Source organism: Homo sapiens, chromosome 18 (assembly GCF_000001405.40).
Source record: "Homo sapiens chromosome 18, GRCh38.p14 Primary Assembly".
In the NCBI taxonomy this organism is placed as follows: Eukaryota; Metazoa; Chordata; class Mammalia; order Primates; family Hominidae; genus Homo; species Homo sapiens.
This window is the reverse complement of record NC_000018.10, coordinates 3,645,626-3,663,717: the sequence shown is the minus strand read 5'-3', so window position 1 is coordinate 3,663,717 and position 18,092 is coordinate 3,645,626. Positions and strand designations below refer to the sequence as shown.

General features: G+C 42.9%; 1 protein-coding gene and 1 long non-coding RNA gene across 35 annotated transcripts in view, besides 2 other annotated features; one reads left to right on the top strand and one right to left on the bottom strand.

Annotated features, from left to right (window-relative positions):
• Positions 1 to 18,092, top strand: part of DLGAP1 (DLG associated protein 1) — a 959,276-nt gene that overhangs the window by 791,590 nt on the left and 149,594 nt on the right. For 15 of the 33 annotated variants that reach the window (NM_001398526.1, NM_001398525.1, XM_024451288.2 and 12 more), the window contains one exon: positions 7,605 to 7,634. The exons of the other annotated variants lie outside the window; for them this stretch is intronic. In NM_001398526.1, coding sequence (NP_001385455.1) covers positions 7,605 to 7,634 — 30 coding nt within the window. The remainder of the gene's footprint in view (positions 1 to 7,604; positions 7,635 to 18,092) is intronic. 33 annotated transcript variants of the gene reach the window in all.
• DLGAP1-AS6 (DLGAP1 antisense RNA 6) lies at positions 7,436 to 10,688 on the bottom strand. 2 transcript variants are annotated; one of them, NR_188002.1, is made up of 3 exons: positions 10,507 to 10,688; positions 8,903 to 9,013; positions 7,436 to 8,209 (listed from the first exon to the last, which is right to left on the bottom strand). It is a non-coding gene; the product is annotated as a DLGAP1 antisense RNA 6 (long non-coding RNA). The 2 variants fall into 2 exon arrangements; NR_188003.1 differs by having other exon boundaries at positions 10,383 to 10,604.
• Positions 9,935 to 11,134: an enhancer, noted in NCBI's record as "MED14-independent group 3 enhancer chr18:3652584-3653783 (GRCh37/hg19 assembly coordinates)". NCBI's record gives its function as "activates an origin of replication core promoter dependent on BRD2, BRD4, P300/CBP and CDK7 cofactors, and independent of MED14, by STARR-seq in HCT116 cells {active_cell/tissue: HCT116}" and the evidence as "EXISTENCE:reporter gene assay evidence [ECO:0000049][PMID:35650434]".
• Positions 10,595 to 10,889: an enhancer, noted in NCBI's record as "tiled region #10669; HepG2 Activating DNase matched - State 5:Enh, and K562 Activating DNase unmatched - State 5:Enh". NCBI's record gives its function as "activates a minimal TATA promoter and a strong SV40 promoter by Sharpr-MPRA in HepG2 and K562 cells {active_cell/tissue: HepG2 | K562}" and the evidence as "EXISTENCE:reporter gene assay evidence [ECO:0000049][PMID:27701403]".

The following is an 18,092-nucleotide window of genomic DNA, read 5'->3' as shown; positions in this document are numbered from 1 at the left end:
TTCAATGGCTGGGAGTGTGGGCTCCTGATCAGTAGCAATATGGTAACTGTTGACTAGAGCACCTGTAATTGGCACCTCCAGCCTTGCGGCTTCAAGACTCCTTACATGTCAGTTCAGGGCTTCCAGAGACAGTTCCTATACAAGAGATAGGAAATCTTAAGGTCTTAAGGTCTGAGCCCAGATACTGGCAGAGCATCTTTTCCTTCATATTCTTGGTGACGGCCAAAGCAGTCCACAAGCCCACTCAGACCAAAGGGAATAACGAAGATGCCACTTCTCAATAGGAAGAGTTTCAAATAATCTGTGGTCATCGTTAGTCATCCATGCTTCAGCCTCTGGACACAAATTATTCACATCTTCTGTAAGGCAAAATATACTCACCCCTTCTAAAGACTTCAAAAACCTTATCTCAAGCTCAAGTTTGAGATTCAGGTTCTTTTTTTTTTTAGGGGGAGTCTTGCTCTCCTTGCCCAGGCTGAAGTACAATGGCATGATCTCGGCTCACTACAACCTCCACCTCCCAGATTCAAGCATTTCTCCTTCCTCAGCCTCCCAAGTAGCTGGGATTACAGGCATGCACCACCACACCCGGCTAATTTTGTATTTTTAGTAGAGACGGGGTTTCACCATGTTGGTCAGGCTGATCTCGAACTCCTGACCTCAGAATATCCACCCATCTTGGCCTCCCAAAGTGCTGGGATTACAGGCGTGAGCCACGGCACCCAGCCGAGATTCAGGTTCTTACCATCTAAATAAGGTTCAGTTGCTGATGGGGCCCATTTGATGCTGTTGTCTTATACAATTTCTCTCAATATGAAGACCTCTCAATATGAAAAAGGTATTTGCCTCATATATGTCCAACGTATACTGATAATACAGGGATGGGATAAGTGCTTGGGATATTCCCACTCAAAGAGTGGATAAACAGCTATACGCCAGGCATTACCATAGCAAGTCTGAAATCCACATGCTGCCAGTTCCTTGGCTGGAGGGCCGAGTCCTGCTCTCTGGAATGATTCTCTGCGGCTCTTGGATCCACCCTCCAGACTCTTGTTGCACCTTCTGAGTTGTCCCCTTTCCATAAGAAATAGCACTTTCAGCTGAATAATCTTCTCAGCTTATGTCTCACCCATAAAAGTCTGGGGGCTCTAAGGACTCTTTGCACTTTACCTCTGCCTGCTTTGTCCAAGCTGATTATGTGTCCACTAATACACTTCTCTCATAATCTTTGTGGGCATCCTTTGAATCTTACTGGGTTTCTTTCTGTTAAATGAAACACATACCTACAATTCTCTTCAAGATAGTCCCTTTTTTGGTCTGGGCTCAGAGTTGGGTGCTGTGGGACAATACCCTTAGGATTCTTAAAAGCCTTTTTGTCTATTTTGGAAACTCTATGAGGTACATCCTTAAATATTTCTACAGTCATTAAAAGGTATTTTACAGCCACCCCCTAGGAGTGTTAAAACAATTTTTGTTTTGTTTTGTTTTGTTTTTACTCAACACATTCTAGCTCTTTATTGTCTCCAAATTTTGTTTGAAAACTGAACAGTTCTTTTTTGACTCATCTTTCTCTACCTGCACCTTTTACTGTGTGTAGCTTTAAAAAAAATTTTTTTTTTAAATTTTTAAATGGCACTTTAAGCATTCTGCCTAGAAGTTTTCTTACTAAAATCCGTGGGTTCCTTGGGTATATTTTCTATTTTCCACATTACTACAAGTGATAATGTTAGCAAATTCTCTGCCACTACATTAATAGAGTTACCTTTTCTCCAGGCTCCAGTGACAATTTTCAGTCCTCCCAGCCTTCACCAGCAGTCTTCTCAAGACCTTACAGCTGGCCGGGAGCAGTGGCTAACTCCTGTAATCCTAGCACTTTGGGAGGCCAAGATGAGCGGATTGCCTGAGCTCAGGAGTTCGAGACCAGCCTGAGCAACATGGTGAAACCCCATCTCTGCTAAAATACAAAAAAAAAAATCATCCAGGCATGGTGGCAGGCGCCTGTAATCCCAGCTACGTGGGAGGCTGAGGCATGAGAATTGCTTGAACCCAGGAGGCGGAGGTTGCAGTGAGCCAAGGCCGTGCCACTGCACTCCAGCCTGGGCAACAAAGTGAAACTCTGTCTCAAAAAAAAAAAAAAAAAAAAAAAGACCTTACAGCTTCTTCCCTCTGCCTAAACTTGACACTTAGGCTCAGCTGATGTTTATGAGTGTCTGCATGTGGCCTTTCCATCAGGACCGTCTCAGGACTTGTAACCTGCTGTCTCAGGCTTCCCGGAGGGAGTGGTCCATGACACCAGAGGGGAAGCTGCCTGTTTCATGAGATCTGGGCAGACAGCATCATTTCCTCTGTATTCTAATGGTCAAAGCAGCCACAGAGCTTACCCAGATTCAAGGAGAGGAGACATAGCCTCCACCTGTCTGTGGGAGGAGTGTGGAAGAATTTGTGGCCATTTTTATTCACCTATAAGTGACATCATAGAGGGTTTTGCAGTCATGTTAAGGCTTTTTGTCTTAAGAATTTCACTGGGCACTCTGGTACATGCCGATAATCTCAGCTACTTGGAAGTCTGAGGCAGGAGGATCACTTGAGCACAGCAGTTTGAGACCAGCCTAAGAAACATAGTGAAACTTCATCTAAAAAATAAATGAATAAAATAAGAGTTGGAAGGCTGTCACATGATCTTTTGAAAAAGTCTCTCCACCTGCAGCATGGGAATAACTTAGAAAAAGGATATTAAAGGCTGAAGTTCTTTTTTAGTTCCTCTTTCTCTATTGTGCCTTATCATACAGTTTCCTGTGAACATTGCTGTCATAATTTGGCCCAGGGTGATGACAGTTGAGACAAGAGAACTGCAGATTATTGAGGTATTTGAATATAAAGTTAGTTAACTAATATTTCTTGAAGTCCATTTAGGGCGTAATTTTGTCTCCAAGTAGCCAATAAACTTACTTGTCAGATACCTTGCCAATATTGGAACCCTAAAACACCTAAATATTTACTGCAAGTTATATGTATTCACTCTGCACATAGATTTTGACTAACTCCCTATAAAGAACAGCCTCTGAGTAGAAATAGACAGTGGTCAATATAATGAAATCTCAGTACTCAGCTCAATAACATCCATAATTGAAATAACGTATTTGAAGTACATTTGCTGGGATTGATAAGATCCTCCTTGAGGATACTCGGGAATGATCACCTTTTCATTCAGTAAATATTTTTTGTGTGTTTGCTCTATGCTACAAATTTCTGGGCAGAGGAGTTACAGCAGCAAACAAAACAGACCAGGTTCCTGCTCTCCTTCTGATTATATTCTAATGAGGAGGACAGAGGTAAACAAGGACGCAGATGTGAAATCAATGAGATAACTGCAAACAGTGAAAAGTGCTATTTTTAAAAAATAAAAGAAAGCCAGTTGTGGTGACAGGTACCTGTAGTCCCTGCTACTTGGGAGTCTGAGGCTGGAGGATTGCTTGAAATCAGAAGTTCAAGGCCAGGCTGGCCAACAAAGTGAGACCCCCACCCCCAATCCTTTTAAAAAATAAAAATTAAGTAAACAAATAAATAAATAAGAGCAATGGGATAGAGTTATTTCTGGCCTGCTCTAAATATAGTAATCAAGGAAGACTCTCTGAGGAAGTTATATTTGAAGTCAAATGTGAACAAAAGAAAAGAGCTGGTTATAGGAAGATTGGGCAGTTTAGGGCAGCAGGCAAGAGGGAGCGAGCCGCAAGTACACCAGCCAAGGGCAGAAAGGAAATAGCATTGCAAAGCACAGAAAGAAACCATGTGGCTAATGGGTCCGGAATAAGGGGAAAAGTCATGTGAGATGAAGTAGAAGAAATAGGGAAATAGGCCGGGCGCGGTGGCTCATGCGTGTAATCCCAGCACTTTGGGAGGCCGAGGCAGGCGGATCATGAGGTCAAGAGATCAAGACCATCCTGGCCAACATGGTGAAACCCTGTCTCTACTAAAAATACGAAACTTAGCTGGGTGTGGTCAGGCGTGCCTGTAGTCCCAGCTACTCGGGACGCTGAGGTAGGAGAATCGCTTGAAGCTGGGAGGCGGAGGTTGCAGTGAGCCGAGATTGCACCACTGCACTCCAGCCTGGGCGACAGAGGGAGATTCTGTCTCAAAAAATAAGAAAAAAAAAAAAAGATATTGAGCTGAGAGAAAAACAGTTGAGTTTGTTTTTTGTTGTTGTTTTCAATTGTATTTTCAAACACTTCTGCAGACTATGAAAAAGAAACCGGGGGTGGGGGCGGCGGGGGGTGGTAGCATCCGTGTGTGTGTGTGTGTGTGTGTGTGTGTGTGTGTGTGTGTATAAATGTATGTGTTACGGCTTACCCTGAATTCCAGGCAATGTCAATGTCAGCCACACACCAGATAATGTCTATTGTGTGTCCTGGAAGTCAGCAGTGCTATGTGTAGCTTTTTAATATCAACATCAATCCCTTCTTAAATATTCAAAATTTTTAAAAACATTTACATTTTAAGATAAATGATCTTTCCCACTCGTTGTACAATTTTGTGTATCATGTTAATATAAGGTATCTAACTAGATATAGCTAATTCTAAATTTTCACTGTAACATAGTTACTTCCCAATATAAAGGCCTACCTTACTATACAGAATAATTTGACTTGGGGTTTAAAAATATAAGAGAAGTCTATTTGGAGCTAGTGAATCACACGTTTTTCTTAAAACAATGTTGATAATTACAGATCTAATTTTTGTTTGTATTTGAGCTTACCTTGTTTCCCCAACTCAGTAAATGATGATTGGGCTCTCCTTCACTGCCACCCCTGTCTTCCCTGATGATTTGTTTAAATTTTCTTGTTTTCTTGCATGAACTCTGTTTCTACATACTGATCAGAGCACATTGTTGTCTTTTCAGTTGAATGACATTTGCTGACACCATGATTATACTCAAAAATGAATATGGCTGAAAAACTTGATATTCTGATGTATATAAGAATTCTACTCTGAAAAGATGAGGTCATTGCTTAATAAGTCAATTACTTGTACCTGACCTTGCGTTTTGGTTTAGTTGCCTGACCAAAAGAATGTCAAATCCATTTATATTGTGATTATACTAGTTGATTGTCAATGACTGTTATCTCTAAGGTGATGTATGTATAGTTTATTTTTGCAATGAAAGGCTTCACAGGTTTTGAAATAACTGGCAAAAAATAATAGCAAATCCTAAGTTTACTTCCATTTGTCTTGTTCAATTAAATGATTACCCCCTTTATGAAGATCTCAGGAAGTATTCTGAAGTTCAAGGTCTTCCCTGGGCCTGACACAAGGAAGCATCAGTTATGGCAGTGGTGCCCTAAAGCGGGTTCATACCAGCTTGCAAGAGCCAGACGTTACAGTTTCAGACATTTTGGAAGCCCATTATTACAAATTAAATTGTGTAACTTACAATTAGATAAATTATATCAAAAACAAAAGTTATAAACATTTAAAACTCATCATTTCCTAGTCATGTTTCTATCCATGCTCTTGAGGTTACATTCTACCATACCCGTATGGTGGAAATACTACATGCTGGTGTGATCACTGCACATCTCTGCCCAACTTTATGTACAGTGACAAATATGCCATGGTATGGGTACTGACATAGTATTGAAGCTGAAAGAGGCTTATTTAATAAAAATAACTTATATCACATAAAAGATATAATAATAGTAAGTTTGTTGGGAAAAGGGCAAACTGAGATGCAACTGAATGAATGATTGTCTGATCATGGTTGAACTGCTGGCTACAGATACAAGAGTTTGGCCAAGATGAACAAAAGAATTCCATGGGAGCCGGGCGCGGTGGCTCAAGCCTGTAATCCCAGCACTTTGGGAGGCCGAGGCGGGCGGATCACGAGGTCAGGAGATCGAGACCATCCTGGCTAACACGGTGAAACCCCGTCTCTACTAAAAATACAAAAAAAATTAGCCGGGTGCGGTGGCGGGCGCCTGTAGTACCAGCTATTCGGGAGGCTGAGGCAGGAGAATGGCGTGAACCCGGGAGGCGGAGCTTGCAGTGAGCCGAGATCGCGCCACTGCACTCCAGCCTGGGCAACAGAGCAAGACTCCGTCTCAAAAAAAAAAAAAAAAAGAATTCCATGGGAACCAATTCACTATATGGAATTTGCCATAAAGAATACTGTATATTTCATTGTTACTTATAGACTGTGTGCCACATATCTTTCGTATCAGCAAAATTTATAATAAACATATGGACATGTATATGCATACTTCCTCCCCTATAGTGTTTCTTACTCAACGTTGGACCAGACACCATTGGTTATGCAGGAAAGATGAAATTCAATAGGAAACAAACTTAAAAGCAGCTTTTCCAGAAAGTCATAAGGAAGAGCAATGTGAACATAATCTGTTAAAAATCAGTGTATGTTCATACAGATACCAATTTGATTTACCAGTATTGAAAAGAATTTTGTTTGCAAACTCCTCCAGTTTGAAAGAGAACCAGGACTTCAACCGAATGAAACTGCAGACATTTTTGTTCAGCCTAAATGATCATGACTATTGCGTAAGATTAGATAATATTATTTATTTTTAACTATGACTTATAAAAAGTGCTCTTTAAATCAAATGATTGTTATCAGGTCTAATTTATCTTAGTTTGGTATTTTCACCTTTAAATTCACCGAAAAGCCAAATGTGGTGGCTCACGCCTGTAATCCCAGCACTTTGGGAGGCTGAGGCGGGCGGATCACAAGGTCAGGAGATCGAGACCATCCTGACTAATACAGTGAAACCATGTTTCTACTAAAAATACAAAAAATTAGCCGGGCGTGCTGGCGGGCGCCTGTAGTCCCAGCCACTCGGGAGGCTGAGGCAGGAGAATGGCGTCCACCCAGGAGGCAGAGGTTGCAGTGAGCCGAGATCCAAGATCCGAGATTGCGCCACTGCACTCCAGCCTGGGTGACAGAGCGAGACTCTGTCTCAAAAAAAAAAAAAATTCACTGCAAAGGTGCATAAATATCAGTCAAGGGTACTGACTTGCTTCATGAACAACTTGACTTGCTCAGATAACCCGTTCACTCTCTGACTTGAGGGAGCTGAAATCTAAACCCATCAGACCAAGAAAAGGGCTCTGGCCCAACCACCCCAGAGAAGAAAGTTACCAGATCACACCATGGTTTTTAACCACCTGTTACATGTTTCAACAGAAACTCTGTCCTAACATGCATCAGATGATCTCTAGATACAGTATCAAAGAGGAAGTGCTGGTCCCTAGCATCCTATTGTGTGAACTTTTATTGATCCATAATCTGGTATAATTTATACACAGAAATAGTCACTCAGGCAGACTTGGCCTTTGTCCCATCCAAAAACATGTTTGATCCCATTTTTAGTGAAAAATTTCCCCAAATGGTTTTAGTGGGGGAAAAGAAGACATCCATGAGACCTAGTTAAGACTAAAAATTATTTTATTTTTGAAGTTGATATTTGTTTAGTTACGTTCTTGCAATGCCAGCAGAAAAAGAAAAATCCAAATCTGAAGCATGCGTGTGTTATGAGAAGCCTGGAAAAGGCGATTTGGGTCCATTATATAACTGCCACTTTTTGTTTTTATTCAAGGTGTCATAAAACTGAGTTCTGCAGTTGAAGGTATGTTTTTACAACCACAAAATCAATAATGTTTTGCTTAAAGGTTGCATAGCGTGGCTTGTAGCTAAAAAGCTTCTGTGGCAGTGGTGTTTGACGCCATGTGCGAATTGCCAGCTATTGCCATTGCATCTGTGTTTCTCCTTGTTCTGGTCATTTTATGCTGCAAAGCTCTCAGCCCTCCTCAAGTGGCATTTGCACTGACCTGAGAGGGCAGCACCAACATGTCTGTTTCTGTCTCCTGATGTGACTGCCTCGGAGCCGGTGCTCGTCAGCGAGCCTGGGCTCTTCTGTGGCCTTATTTGAGGCTGGACATAGTCTTGTCAGGAACCTTTGCCCTGGATCTTTCAGCAGAGCCTGGTCTAGAGCGTCCTTTATCCCAACAGAGCAGACATGTTTGCCCAGGAAGTATGTGAGCAAGAAGAGTCATTTAAGCTTCTTCCTGATGAGACAATGAGATGGTTAAGGCATTTGCCGGTCTCATTGCGGGTTCCTCCTGGGCAGTGTGACCCACCACTATGAGGCATAGTGAAGACCAAGTTCCTTTACTGTTGTCCGTGTCAGTGAGTGGCAGTTCCCTTCAGTCATACGTTCAAAAAGCCGAGAAGAAAAGGAAGAAGAATTTAAGGAAAGTACAAAAGAGACGTCCAAGCAAAGTGTTTTGCTGAGTAACCCCAAGAATATTAAAATGACTTCATTTTCTGAAATGATTTATTGGTATAAAATTGATCTCCTTAGCCCCATAGGAGTTTCACAAATCAAAAGTAGAGAATGTGTCATTTTCTTCTTTTGTGAGTTTCTGTGTTTGTTTTGGGGGGGTGTGTGTTCTCGTTTATTGGGAGTTTGTCGGCCATGCTTTGGAGGTTTCTTCATCCTCACTTAATCAGGGGAGGCTGCATGGAAGAGGTAGTGGGCTTTCGGGTGAGTTTTCAACTTAAAGGGAGATGTGGCTGGCTTGGTGAATGGGCAATGCATGGAGGTGGGGAGTGGGAAATTGCAGTGGGGGTTGGAGTGGTGAGGCCGTTCAGGGGGCTGGAGTTTCAAGGTTGGGAGGTGGGAGAGTAGTAGGTCAGTTATGTACCCATGGGACTGGCAAATCCAAAGTAAGGGTGCTTTATCCCTTTGGCGGATTTAGTACCATTACATTTTACAAAACCAAGTTGAAAAGGCAGTATTTGTGGCATTCGTGGCAGAAAGTATGATGCTACTCTAAACTCAGCAAAAGGTGCAGGCAGCGGTGTTTCAGAGTGGAGAGAAAAAGACCTTCTCACCTCGAGGAGAAAGTGCATGTTGCAGGCCTGTGGTAGGCCAAGCAGAAATTCAAGTTCGCTTTGCGCATCAAAGTGGAATTTTACTGAAGGACAATCCAAGTTCCTCCCTGCCTAAAACGATATAAGAGACACAGAAACAAAATCAAGCAGCACCATGAGAATGACCTTGGCTGCAGAAACTCCCAGTAGCAATTTGAGCACTGAGTTTCAGTTAATTATCTGTTGAATTACAGATAACAGTTGGTTCACTCTGGGCCGTTTTGATGTTTTATCAAGGAATGGCTTTGAAGTCATAGTTTTACATTGCCTGCTTGGTTTGAGTGCAGTATTCCACTTGCCAACAAAAGGATACAGTGACAAAATACAATTTTCATTTTAAAAGTCAGAAAGTCAAGAGAGCATTAAGTAATTTTAAAACTATTGTTTTGCTAGAGGTTATTAGTGGGTGTCATGGCTGGTCTACACCCCCAGGACAGGGTTTTGTTTTCTCCAGAAAGATGAGAGTTTGAGGGAAAACAAAGGCAGGAAGCAGAGTGACTGCTTGGGGCTAGTCCGGCAGCCTCTGGCCACCTTCCTCATCACTCAGCCTCCTCTGAGTCCCTGGGGCTCACAGGAAGTTCTCTGGAGTGGCTGCGGATACCAGAAGTCAGGCCCACTGCGACTGTTGCTTGAGCATCTTTTTGGGCAGCTTATTGTCTGAGGCTCGGGAGCATGCTGTGTTGTAACCGTGTTAGAATATATGTGTGCAGGGGCAATTTGGGAGTGCGGTTGTTGGGCTGGGGGGACGTGTGTTCCATGCATGCATTCTCAGTGCATCTGAAACGTGGAACTCTTACAAGCATGCTCAGTGGCACGTGTGTCGGACACTATCTCTTGATGAGAAATCAAACCTCAGATGGTCGGCCTTGCCACTGCTTAGCTAATTACCGTACTTGCAACTTTCCATCTGCAGAATGAATTCAAGGCAGCTTCGTGCAGCTTTTCATGTCAAAGAGTGTGCACATCAGTGGAAGAAATCCACTGTCAGAAATGAAACCGCTTTCCTTTTTTAAAAAAAAGAGACTCTGCTCTATATTATCCTAGAGCTCTGAAACTAGTATTAATATTTTAGGTAGATTCTCTTATTCTTTTCAAGGAAAAATAATTGTCAAAGTCCTAAGAGAAAAACAAACCAAGATTCCATTTGCCACTCCCTACCAAGTGTCTATGGCAGGCAGTTTTGTTTCTTCTTTTCTGGAGCAGGGGTGCCCTCTTCCGCACTGTGCAGCTTCATAGCAGCTTTTTAAATCAGCAAAAAGAAAAACCCATTTTGTGTCTCATGAATGCTAAGGTTAAAGGTGGAATGTCCTTTGAATTTAAACAGAAACACTCATCAATGCTTTGATTATTTTGCAATGAGGAAAAATAAGTGAATAGGGAAAAAGTTCAGTTTGAAAGAAATAATTGCAAAGTCTTATCGATAACACTGATGAATTCTCACCTCTGATTTTAGATTGATAATCCCAAACTCCGAGAAAATTGGGGTCAGAGAGAAACATCTAGACAGCAATTTGACGGAAGGGGGAAACAGTCGCACCAATGGCAGGGAAGGAAAAACCACTCACAGCAAGAATTCCACAAGAGTCTTCTAAATATTTCTCTGAATAAGGTCTTTTCTCTTGAAACTGGAGCAGGGAGATAGATGTTAGGTCTACATATTTTCACCAGTAGGGCCAAAACATTGGCCTTATCAAGGAGAAGTGGGAACACAGGTCATGGAAGAGCTGAGTCACCCCTGAGTCAGAATGACTCTGATATTCTATAGGCAGCTATTTATTTCCAGGGAAGGAGGGGCCACCCGAGCTGGAAACTCTTGGTCCAACCGAAGTGGTGTATTCAGACATGGGGAGTGGGAGTGTTCCAGCAGGCACAGGCCTGGAGGGACAAGATGAGCCAGCCGTGGTGGCAGGCTGATGCAAGTCTTTGCCAGTGATAAGCAGCATGTGTTCTGTGTTGAGACTTGTCTGCAAGGCGATTTGTTTATACCTCATAGGTGAGAATCTAAAACACCAAAAGGACATCACATTCTTTTGAAAGCCCGTATGAAAAAAATGAAGGTTGTCTTCTTTGGAAAAGTTCCACATTTCTAAATATAGGAACAGATGAGCCTCTCTGAAGAAATCAAATAAATGAGGGCTGGGTGCGGTGGTTCACACCTGTAATCCCAGCACTCTGGGAGGGCGAGGCAGGAAAATAGCTTGAGGCCAGGTATTCAAAGTTCAAGACGGCCGTGAGCCACAGAGCGAGTCCCCCTCATCTCTACAAAAAATATTTTGTAAAAGTTAGCTGGTTGTGGTGGCATACACCTGTAGTCCTAGCTACTTGGGAGTCTGAAGTGGCAGGACCAGTTGAGCTCAAGAGTTTGAGGCTACAGTGAGCTATGACTGCGCCACTGCACTCCAGCCTGGTCAACAGAGCGAGACCCTGTCTCTAAAATAAAAACTTTTTAAGGAAATTCTGTTGTTCATAGTATGACAAGCCAGGTGTCCAAAAACACCCCAAAGGGATTTAATGTATTAAAAATATTCCTAATGTATTGATGTCATTCCCTCTGTAGGTGAACTCTGCCTTTGTCATTGTGTCTTTCTTTCTTTTCTTTTTTTTTTTTTTTTTGATACAGAGTCTCGCTCTGTCGCCCAGGCTGGAGTGCAGTGTTGTGATCTCGGCTCACAGCAACCTCCACCTCCCAGGTTCAAGCAATTCTCGTGCCTCAGCCCCCTGAGTAGCTGGAACTACAGGCGCGCGCCACCACGCCCGGCTAACTTTTGCTTTTTGTTTTTTGTTGTTGTTGTTGTTGTTGTTGTGTTTGAGACAGTCTTGCTCTGTCTCCCAGGCTGGAGCGCAGTGGCGTGATCTCGGCTCGCTGCAACCTCCGCCTCCTGGGCTCAAGTGATTCTCCTGCCTCAGCCTCCCGAGTAGCTGGGATTACAGGTGCCCGCCACCACGCCCGGCTATTTTGTATTTATAGTAGAGACAGGGTTTCACCATGTTAGCCAGGCTGGTCTCGAACTCCTGACCTCAAGAGATCCACCCACCTCGGCCTCCCAAAGTGCTGGGATTACAGGCGTGAGCCACTGCACTCGGCCTCCCAAAGTGCTGGGATTACAGGCGTGAACCACTGCACCCGGCTTAATTTTTGTATTTTTAGTGGAGACGGGGGTTCGCCTTGTTGGCCAGGCTGGTCTCAAACTCCTGGCCTCAAGTGATCTGACCGCCTTGGCCTCCCAAAGTGCTGGAATTACAGGCATGAGCCACCTTGCCCAGCTGAATCTTTCTATTTTTAGAGCAAAGCCATGTGCTCAGCGTGTCAAGGTAGACTGTGGTAAATCCTTTAATAAACAGATGCTGATGGATTTACCACCAGTAGTAAACTGAGAATGAAGTTTCAACTTTTTGTTTGTTTGTTTGTTTTTGTTTTTTAGGCAGAGTCTTGCTCTATCGCCAGGCTAGAGTGCAGCGGCACATTGTCGGCTCCCTGCAACCTCCACCTCCTGGGTTCAAGCGATTCTCCTGCCTCAGCCTCCCAAGTAGCCGGGATTACAGGCGCCTGCCACCATGCCCAGCTAATTTTTGTATTTTTAGTAGAGAGGGGGTTTCACCATGTTGGCCAGGATGGTCTCGATCTCCTGACCTCATGATCCGCCCACCTCAGCCTCCCAAAGTGCTGGGATTCCAGGCGTGAGCCACCGTGCCCAGCCAACTTTGTTTTTTTGAGACAGAGTCTGGCTCTGTCGCCAGGCTGGAGTGCAGTGGTGTGATCTCGGCTCACTGCAACATCCAACTCCCTGGTTCAAGCAATTGTCCTGCCTCAGCCTCCCGAATAGCTGGGATTCCAGGCACGCATGACCACACCCAGCTAATTTTTGTATTTTAATAGAGACAGGGTTTCACCATGTTGGCCAGGATGGTCTCCAACTCCTGACCTCATGATCCGCCCACCTTGGCCTCCCAAAGTGCTGGGATTACAGGCGTGAGCAGCCATGCCTGGCCAGTTTCAACATTTTTACTACCGGAAATCAAAATGTTAGTCAGATAACTGACAGAGATAGGATAGAGCTATCTCCCAGAAGGAGTTCCTTCCTTCCTTCCACCAGCGTGGTAGGTGGCAGTGTGTCAGGAATACTAAATGGAATATTATAGAAACTGAGAACAAAACTCAAGAAACTTGTTTCTGCAAAGAAACCCAGACATCCTGTTTATAAAAATGACGTGGAGGCTGGAGCACCACACTAAACAAACGAATGTTCTCTTCTCAGATGTATCTTTACTTGTCATTATACTTTTGGCTAAACGTTTCTTTTTTCTTTCTTTCTTTTGTAGAGACAGGGTCTCTCTATGTTGCCCAGGGTAGTGTTGAACTGCTGGCCTCAAGCTGTCCTCCTGCCTTAGCCTCTGCATCCAGCCAAAATATTCCTATGAAATATAAATGTTTCAACCAGGCACGGTGACTCACAACTGTAATCCCAGCACTTTGGGAGGCTGAAGCAGGAGCATCACTTGAGGTCAGGAGTTCAAGATCAGCATGGCCAACATGGTGAAACTCTGTCTCTACTAAAAATACAAAAAATTAGCCAGGCATGATGGCAGGTGCCTGTAGTCCCAGCTACTCAGGAGGATGAGCGGGAGAATCGCTTGAATCCAGGAGGTGGAGGTTGCGGTGAGCCGAGATTGTGCAACTGCATTCCAGCCTGGGTGACAGAGCAAGATCCTGTTTCCAAAAAAAATAAAAAAACAAAAAACAGTAATGTCTCTGGGAGCATTGAGAGTTTCCCAAATAGCTTCCTAAGACGAGGACCCTCCTGAAATGGCAGAGGTGGAGCCACGTGACCCAGAAACTGGAAGATGTGTGGAAAGAAATTTCCAAGGGTTAGCCATTTGTCATCTTGTGATTACCCTCACCTCAGATAAAGTTGACCTCAAATGACCAACCATTGACCTCATCTCAGAGCTCTCTCACATTTATCTTTTTACTTTTTTTTTTAAGTTTATCTTTTCCCCTCTTTGTTTCCCTCTCCCTCCTCCTCTTTTCCAACTGCCCTTTTCTATTTCTGCACAGTGTAGAAGAAAGTTTAAGGGGGACCCTAGGCAACAGAAAGCCAACCAGTGGCTGGAAGGGTCTGGCAAGGAGCCGCTATTTGCCTCAGTGTCCTAGCCAATAAAATAAAGACTTCTCTTGGGGCAGTTGCAGAGACTAAACTAGATGCTAGAGAGAAAGCCTTAACACAGTGTACGGAAGGCAGTAGGTGCTCTCCTTCCCGCTTTCCTCTTTCCAGTGTCTAATGATCATTTCTACTAGAATCATGGTGTAGCACACTGCTGAGAGTTTCATTTTCGGCAAAGCCACAAACAGAGCCAGTTTATAAATCCTTGCTTCTCCCCTTTGAGAGTCCTTAGAGGGAAGCGACTCCTCGTGTTGGATAGAGCTCTCTGATCACCTTTCTGGGACCTGTGGCATCTGCCAGGGGCAAGTCACAGCCCCAGTTTGGAGTGTTCGATTCAGATGAGATTGTCCCCCAGTCTGTTTTTTGAGTCCTGGAAGGTGGGGAGGAGAGGAAAGGTTTTCAGGCAACAAACAAGTGCTGACTGAAGACTGATTTCATCAATATTAATTGTGTTTTATTACAAAAGAGTTTATACTGGCACAGTGTTCCTGAGCAAGCCATTTGTCACCACTCATCAACGATATGAAAGTTTTTGAATAAGGAGAACCAAAGTAAATACAACCACAGCTATCCAGAGAGGAACTTTTCATAAATCTTTGAACTGTATAGCCAAAAACTAATCAAATCTGTGCTGAATAAGCGGCCTTGAGCACTTAACAACAAATTAGCATAACCCAGAAGACAGTGTGCATCCCAAGCACCATAACCTACCCTTCACCCTCCTCCCTGGGGCAGGAAGTAGGCATTTACAAATCAAAGGCAAGCTGCAAACGATAATCTGCCACTTGTCACTGATTTATTTTCCCTCTTTTCTTTTTGTTTTTCAAGAGTATAAGTTTCAATGTCTGTGTATTTGTTTTTGTTATTTTGGCAGTCTAGTGAAAGTTTTCAATGTAAACAAAACTCTTACTCTTAAAGAACAAGCAACTCTATTACATTGCATAAGAAGGCAGTTCTTAAAGACAATGGTCTAATTAGCAGTCTTTGAAGCCAATTCAATAGTAATATCAAAGCCACTTCTAGTATTTCAAGCCCGAATTTAGAAAATGGCCTTGATATTTTCAGTCTAAAACTATAGTCTGACCTTACTATTAATTTTGGAACACACCATAATGTAGACAACTGCTGAAATCACTTGATGTTATGAACCCGGAAATCACACCCTCTTAAACGATACATCACACCCATTAAAATTAACTGTAAAATCCATTTTGTATTGATTTTGTTTGAATTTGGTATTCAACTAAGATGCTTTACATGCGTAAATATTGCCACAGCTGTATATACAACGGTTTTGTTGAATCCATTGATGCTTTAAGTTGAAAGAGCATACGTTATGGGTTTTGTTTGGTTTCACTGAGAAGAAGGCCAAAGGATTTTTCTAGCAATGTTTCAACAAAATGCAAAATTAGATGCCAGTCCAGAAGCCTTAAGGATGTGAAATGTTTTGAAAATACAGATTTTCAGCTATTTCCTAGCTTTAACCGACATGTGTGCTTAAGTGAAGGCAGAAGGAAACCTGGTACACTTCTGCTGAGTACAGTGTTTCTTAAACATGCACCTGTTAAGAGATAGAGAAGCAAATTTAATTTCCTTTTTAGCCTTCTATATCCCATTGTTGATTTTATACATGCCCTCCTTAAATATGAACTCCTAAAATTGTGTTTGGAACACATATTGGAAGAAAGTATAGAACAGTATATAGGACAGTCCTAGGTTCAAACTTCGTAGCCATAACTTCCTGGCTGTGTTGTAATCTGGAGCAAGTTACTCCGTCTGTACCACACTTTCCTCATCTGTAAAATGGGGTAATGCTACTTAGCACTCCAGTTGATTAAGAAGCTTAAATAGACCGGGCGTGGTGGCTCACACCTGTAATCCCAGCACTTTGAGAGGCCAAGGAGGGCCATCACCTGAGGTCAGGAGTTTGAGACCAGCCTGGTCAACATGGTGAAACCCCATCTCTACTAAAAATACAAAAATTAGCCAGGCGTGGTGGCACACACCTGTAGTCCCAGGTACTCGGGAGGCTAAGGCAGGAGAATCGCTTGAACCCCAGAAGCGGAGGTTGCAGTGAGCCAAGATCGTGCCATTACACTTCAGCCTGGGTGACAGAGCAAGTCTCGGTTTAAAAAAAAAAAAAAGGAGCTTAAATAAAATCAGATAATGTTGAAGTACCTAGTAAACTGTTTAGCATGTAGGCATTCAATATATTTTAGATATTTATTTATAGTTTTGTTATCGTTTTTGTTTTTATGGGCTCAAAAATTAAATTATAAAAAATTCATATGCTGCTACTTTTGCTTGATGTTATTATATATATAGACATGTATATTTTTATTTATTTATTTATTTATTTTGAGATGGATTTTCACTCTTGTTGCCCAGGCTGGAGTGCAATGGCACAATCTCAGCTCACTCCAACCTGCGCCTCCCAGGTTCAAGCGATTCTCCTGACTCAGCCTCCCTAGTAGCTGGGATTACCGCCATAAGCCACCATACCTATGCCTGGCTAATTTTTTGTATTTAGTAGAAACAGGGTTTCACCGTGTTGGTCAGGCTGGTCTGGAACTCCTGACCTCAGATGATCCACCCACCTCAGCCTCTCAAAGTGCTGAGATTACAGGCGTGAGCCACCGCACCCGGTGATGTTACAATAGATATATTTTATTTATTTATTTATTTATTTTGAGATGGAGTCTCGCCCTGTTGCCCAGGCTGAAGTGCAGTAGTTCGATCTTGGCTCACTGCAAGCTCCGCCTCCCGGGTTCAAGCCATTCTCCTGCTTCAGCCTCCCGAGTAGCTGGGACTACAGGCGCCCACCACCACGCCCGGCTAATTTTTTGTATTTTTTAGTAGAGACGAGGTTTCACCGTGTTAGCCAGGATGGTCTCAATCTCCTGACCTCGTGATCTGCCCGCCTCGGCCTCCCACAGTGCTGGGATTACAGGCATGAGCCACCGTGCCCGGCTGTTACAATATTTTTTAAAGAGCAATGATCATGTGTCTAAATAACATGAATTTGTTTTTTACTAAATTAAATATTATTTTATTACATGTAATCTAATGGCAATCTAACTAATGAGCTTGATGCAATCAAAACCACTCAAGAAAAATGATTAGAATTCTCTACACAACTGTTTCCTTTTCTTTATCTGATTATGGTTTTGGTTTAAGTATGGAGGGTTTTATTTGTTTTCTTTTCCTATCTTTTTCTTTTTCTTTTTTTGGAAACAGGATCTTGCCCAGGCTAGAGCGCAGTGATACAATCTCAGCTCACTGTAGCCTTGACCTCCTGGGCTTAAGTGATCCTCCATCTCAGCCTCCCGAGTAGCTGGGATCACAGGTGTGTGCCATCACGCTCGGCTAACTTTTTATTTTTGTAGAGATGAGGTCTCATTATATTGCCCAGGCTGGTCTCAAACTCCTGGGTTCAAGCTATCTTCCAGCCTTAGCCTCCTAAACTGCTGGGATTACAGGCATGAGCCACCACACCTGGCCTCCTTTTTTAAAAATATTGTTTTGGAGTAGCATTAGTTGAGTGAATACTCATCACATTAAAAATAAGACGTTTGAAAACTACCACCGTCAAATGATTTAGGGCATACCAGTCTCATATAGAGTATTTGTAAGGCACGATGATGTAAAGGATTCAGGCTGCTGAGGTCTGTGGCAGGAAGCACAGAAAGACTGTTTCCAAACATGACATATTATACTCTATTGCTTCATGCTTATTAATCTGTTTATGACAAAACTCATGAATAAAGTTAATAAATGCCCTTACTACTATTTCATGCCCTATCCCAGGCCATGGGGACAGAAAGATGGAAAGATGAGCCAGACATGGTTCTTCTATCTAGAGAAGGCAGCATACGTGTGAACAGGCCATTATGACTTAATATAATGAATGCAATGGCAGGAATATATAAAAGGAATTATGTGAACATAGAAGTCAGCCTAGGAACTCTGCCTGGGTAGATCAGAAGGAT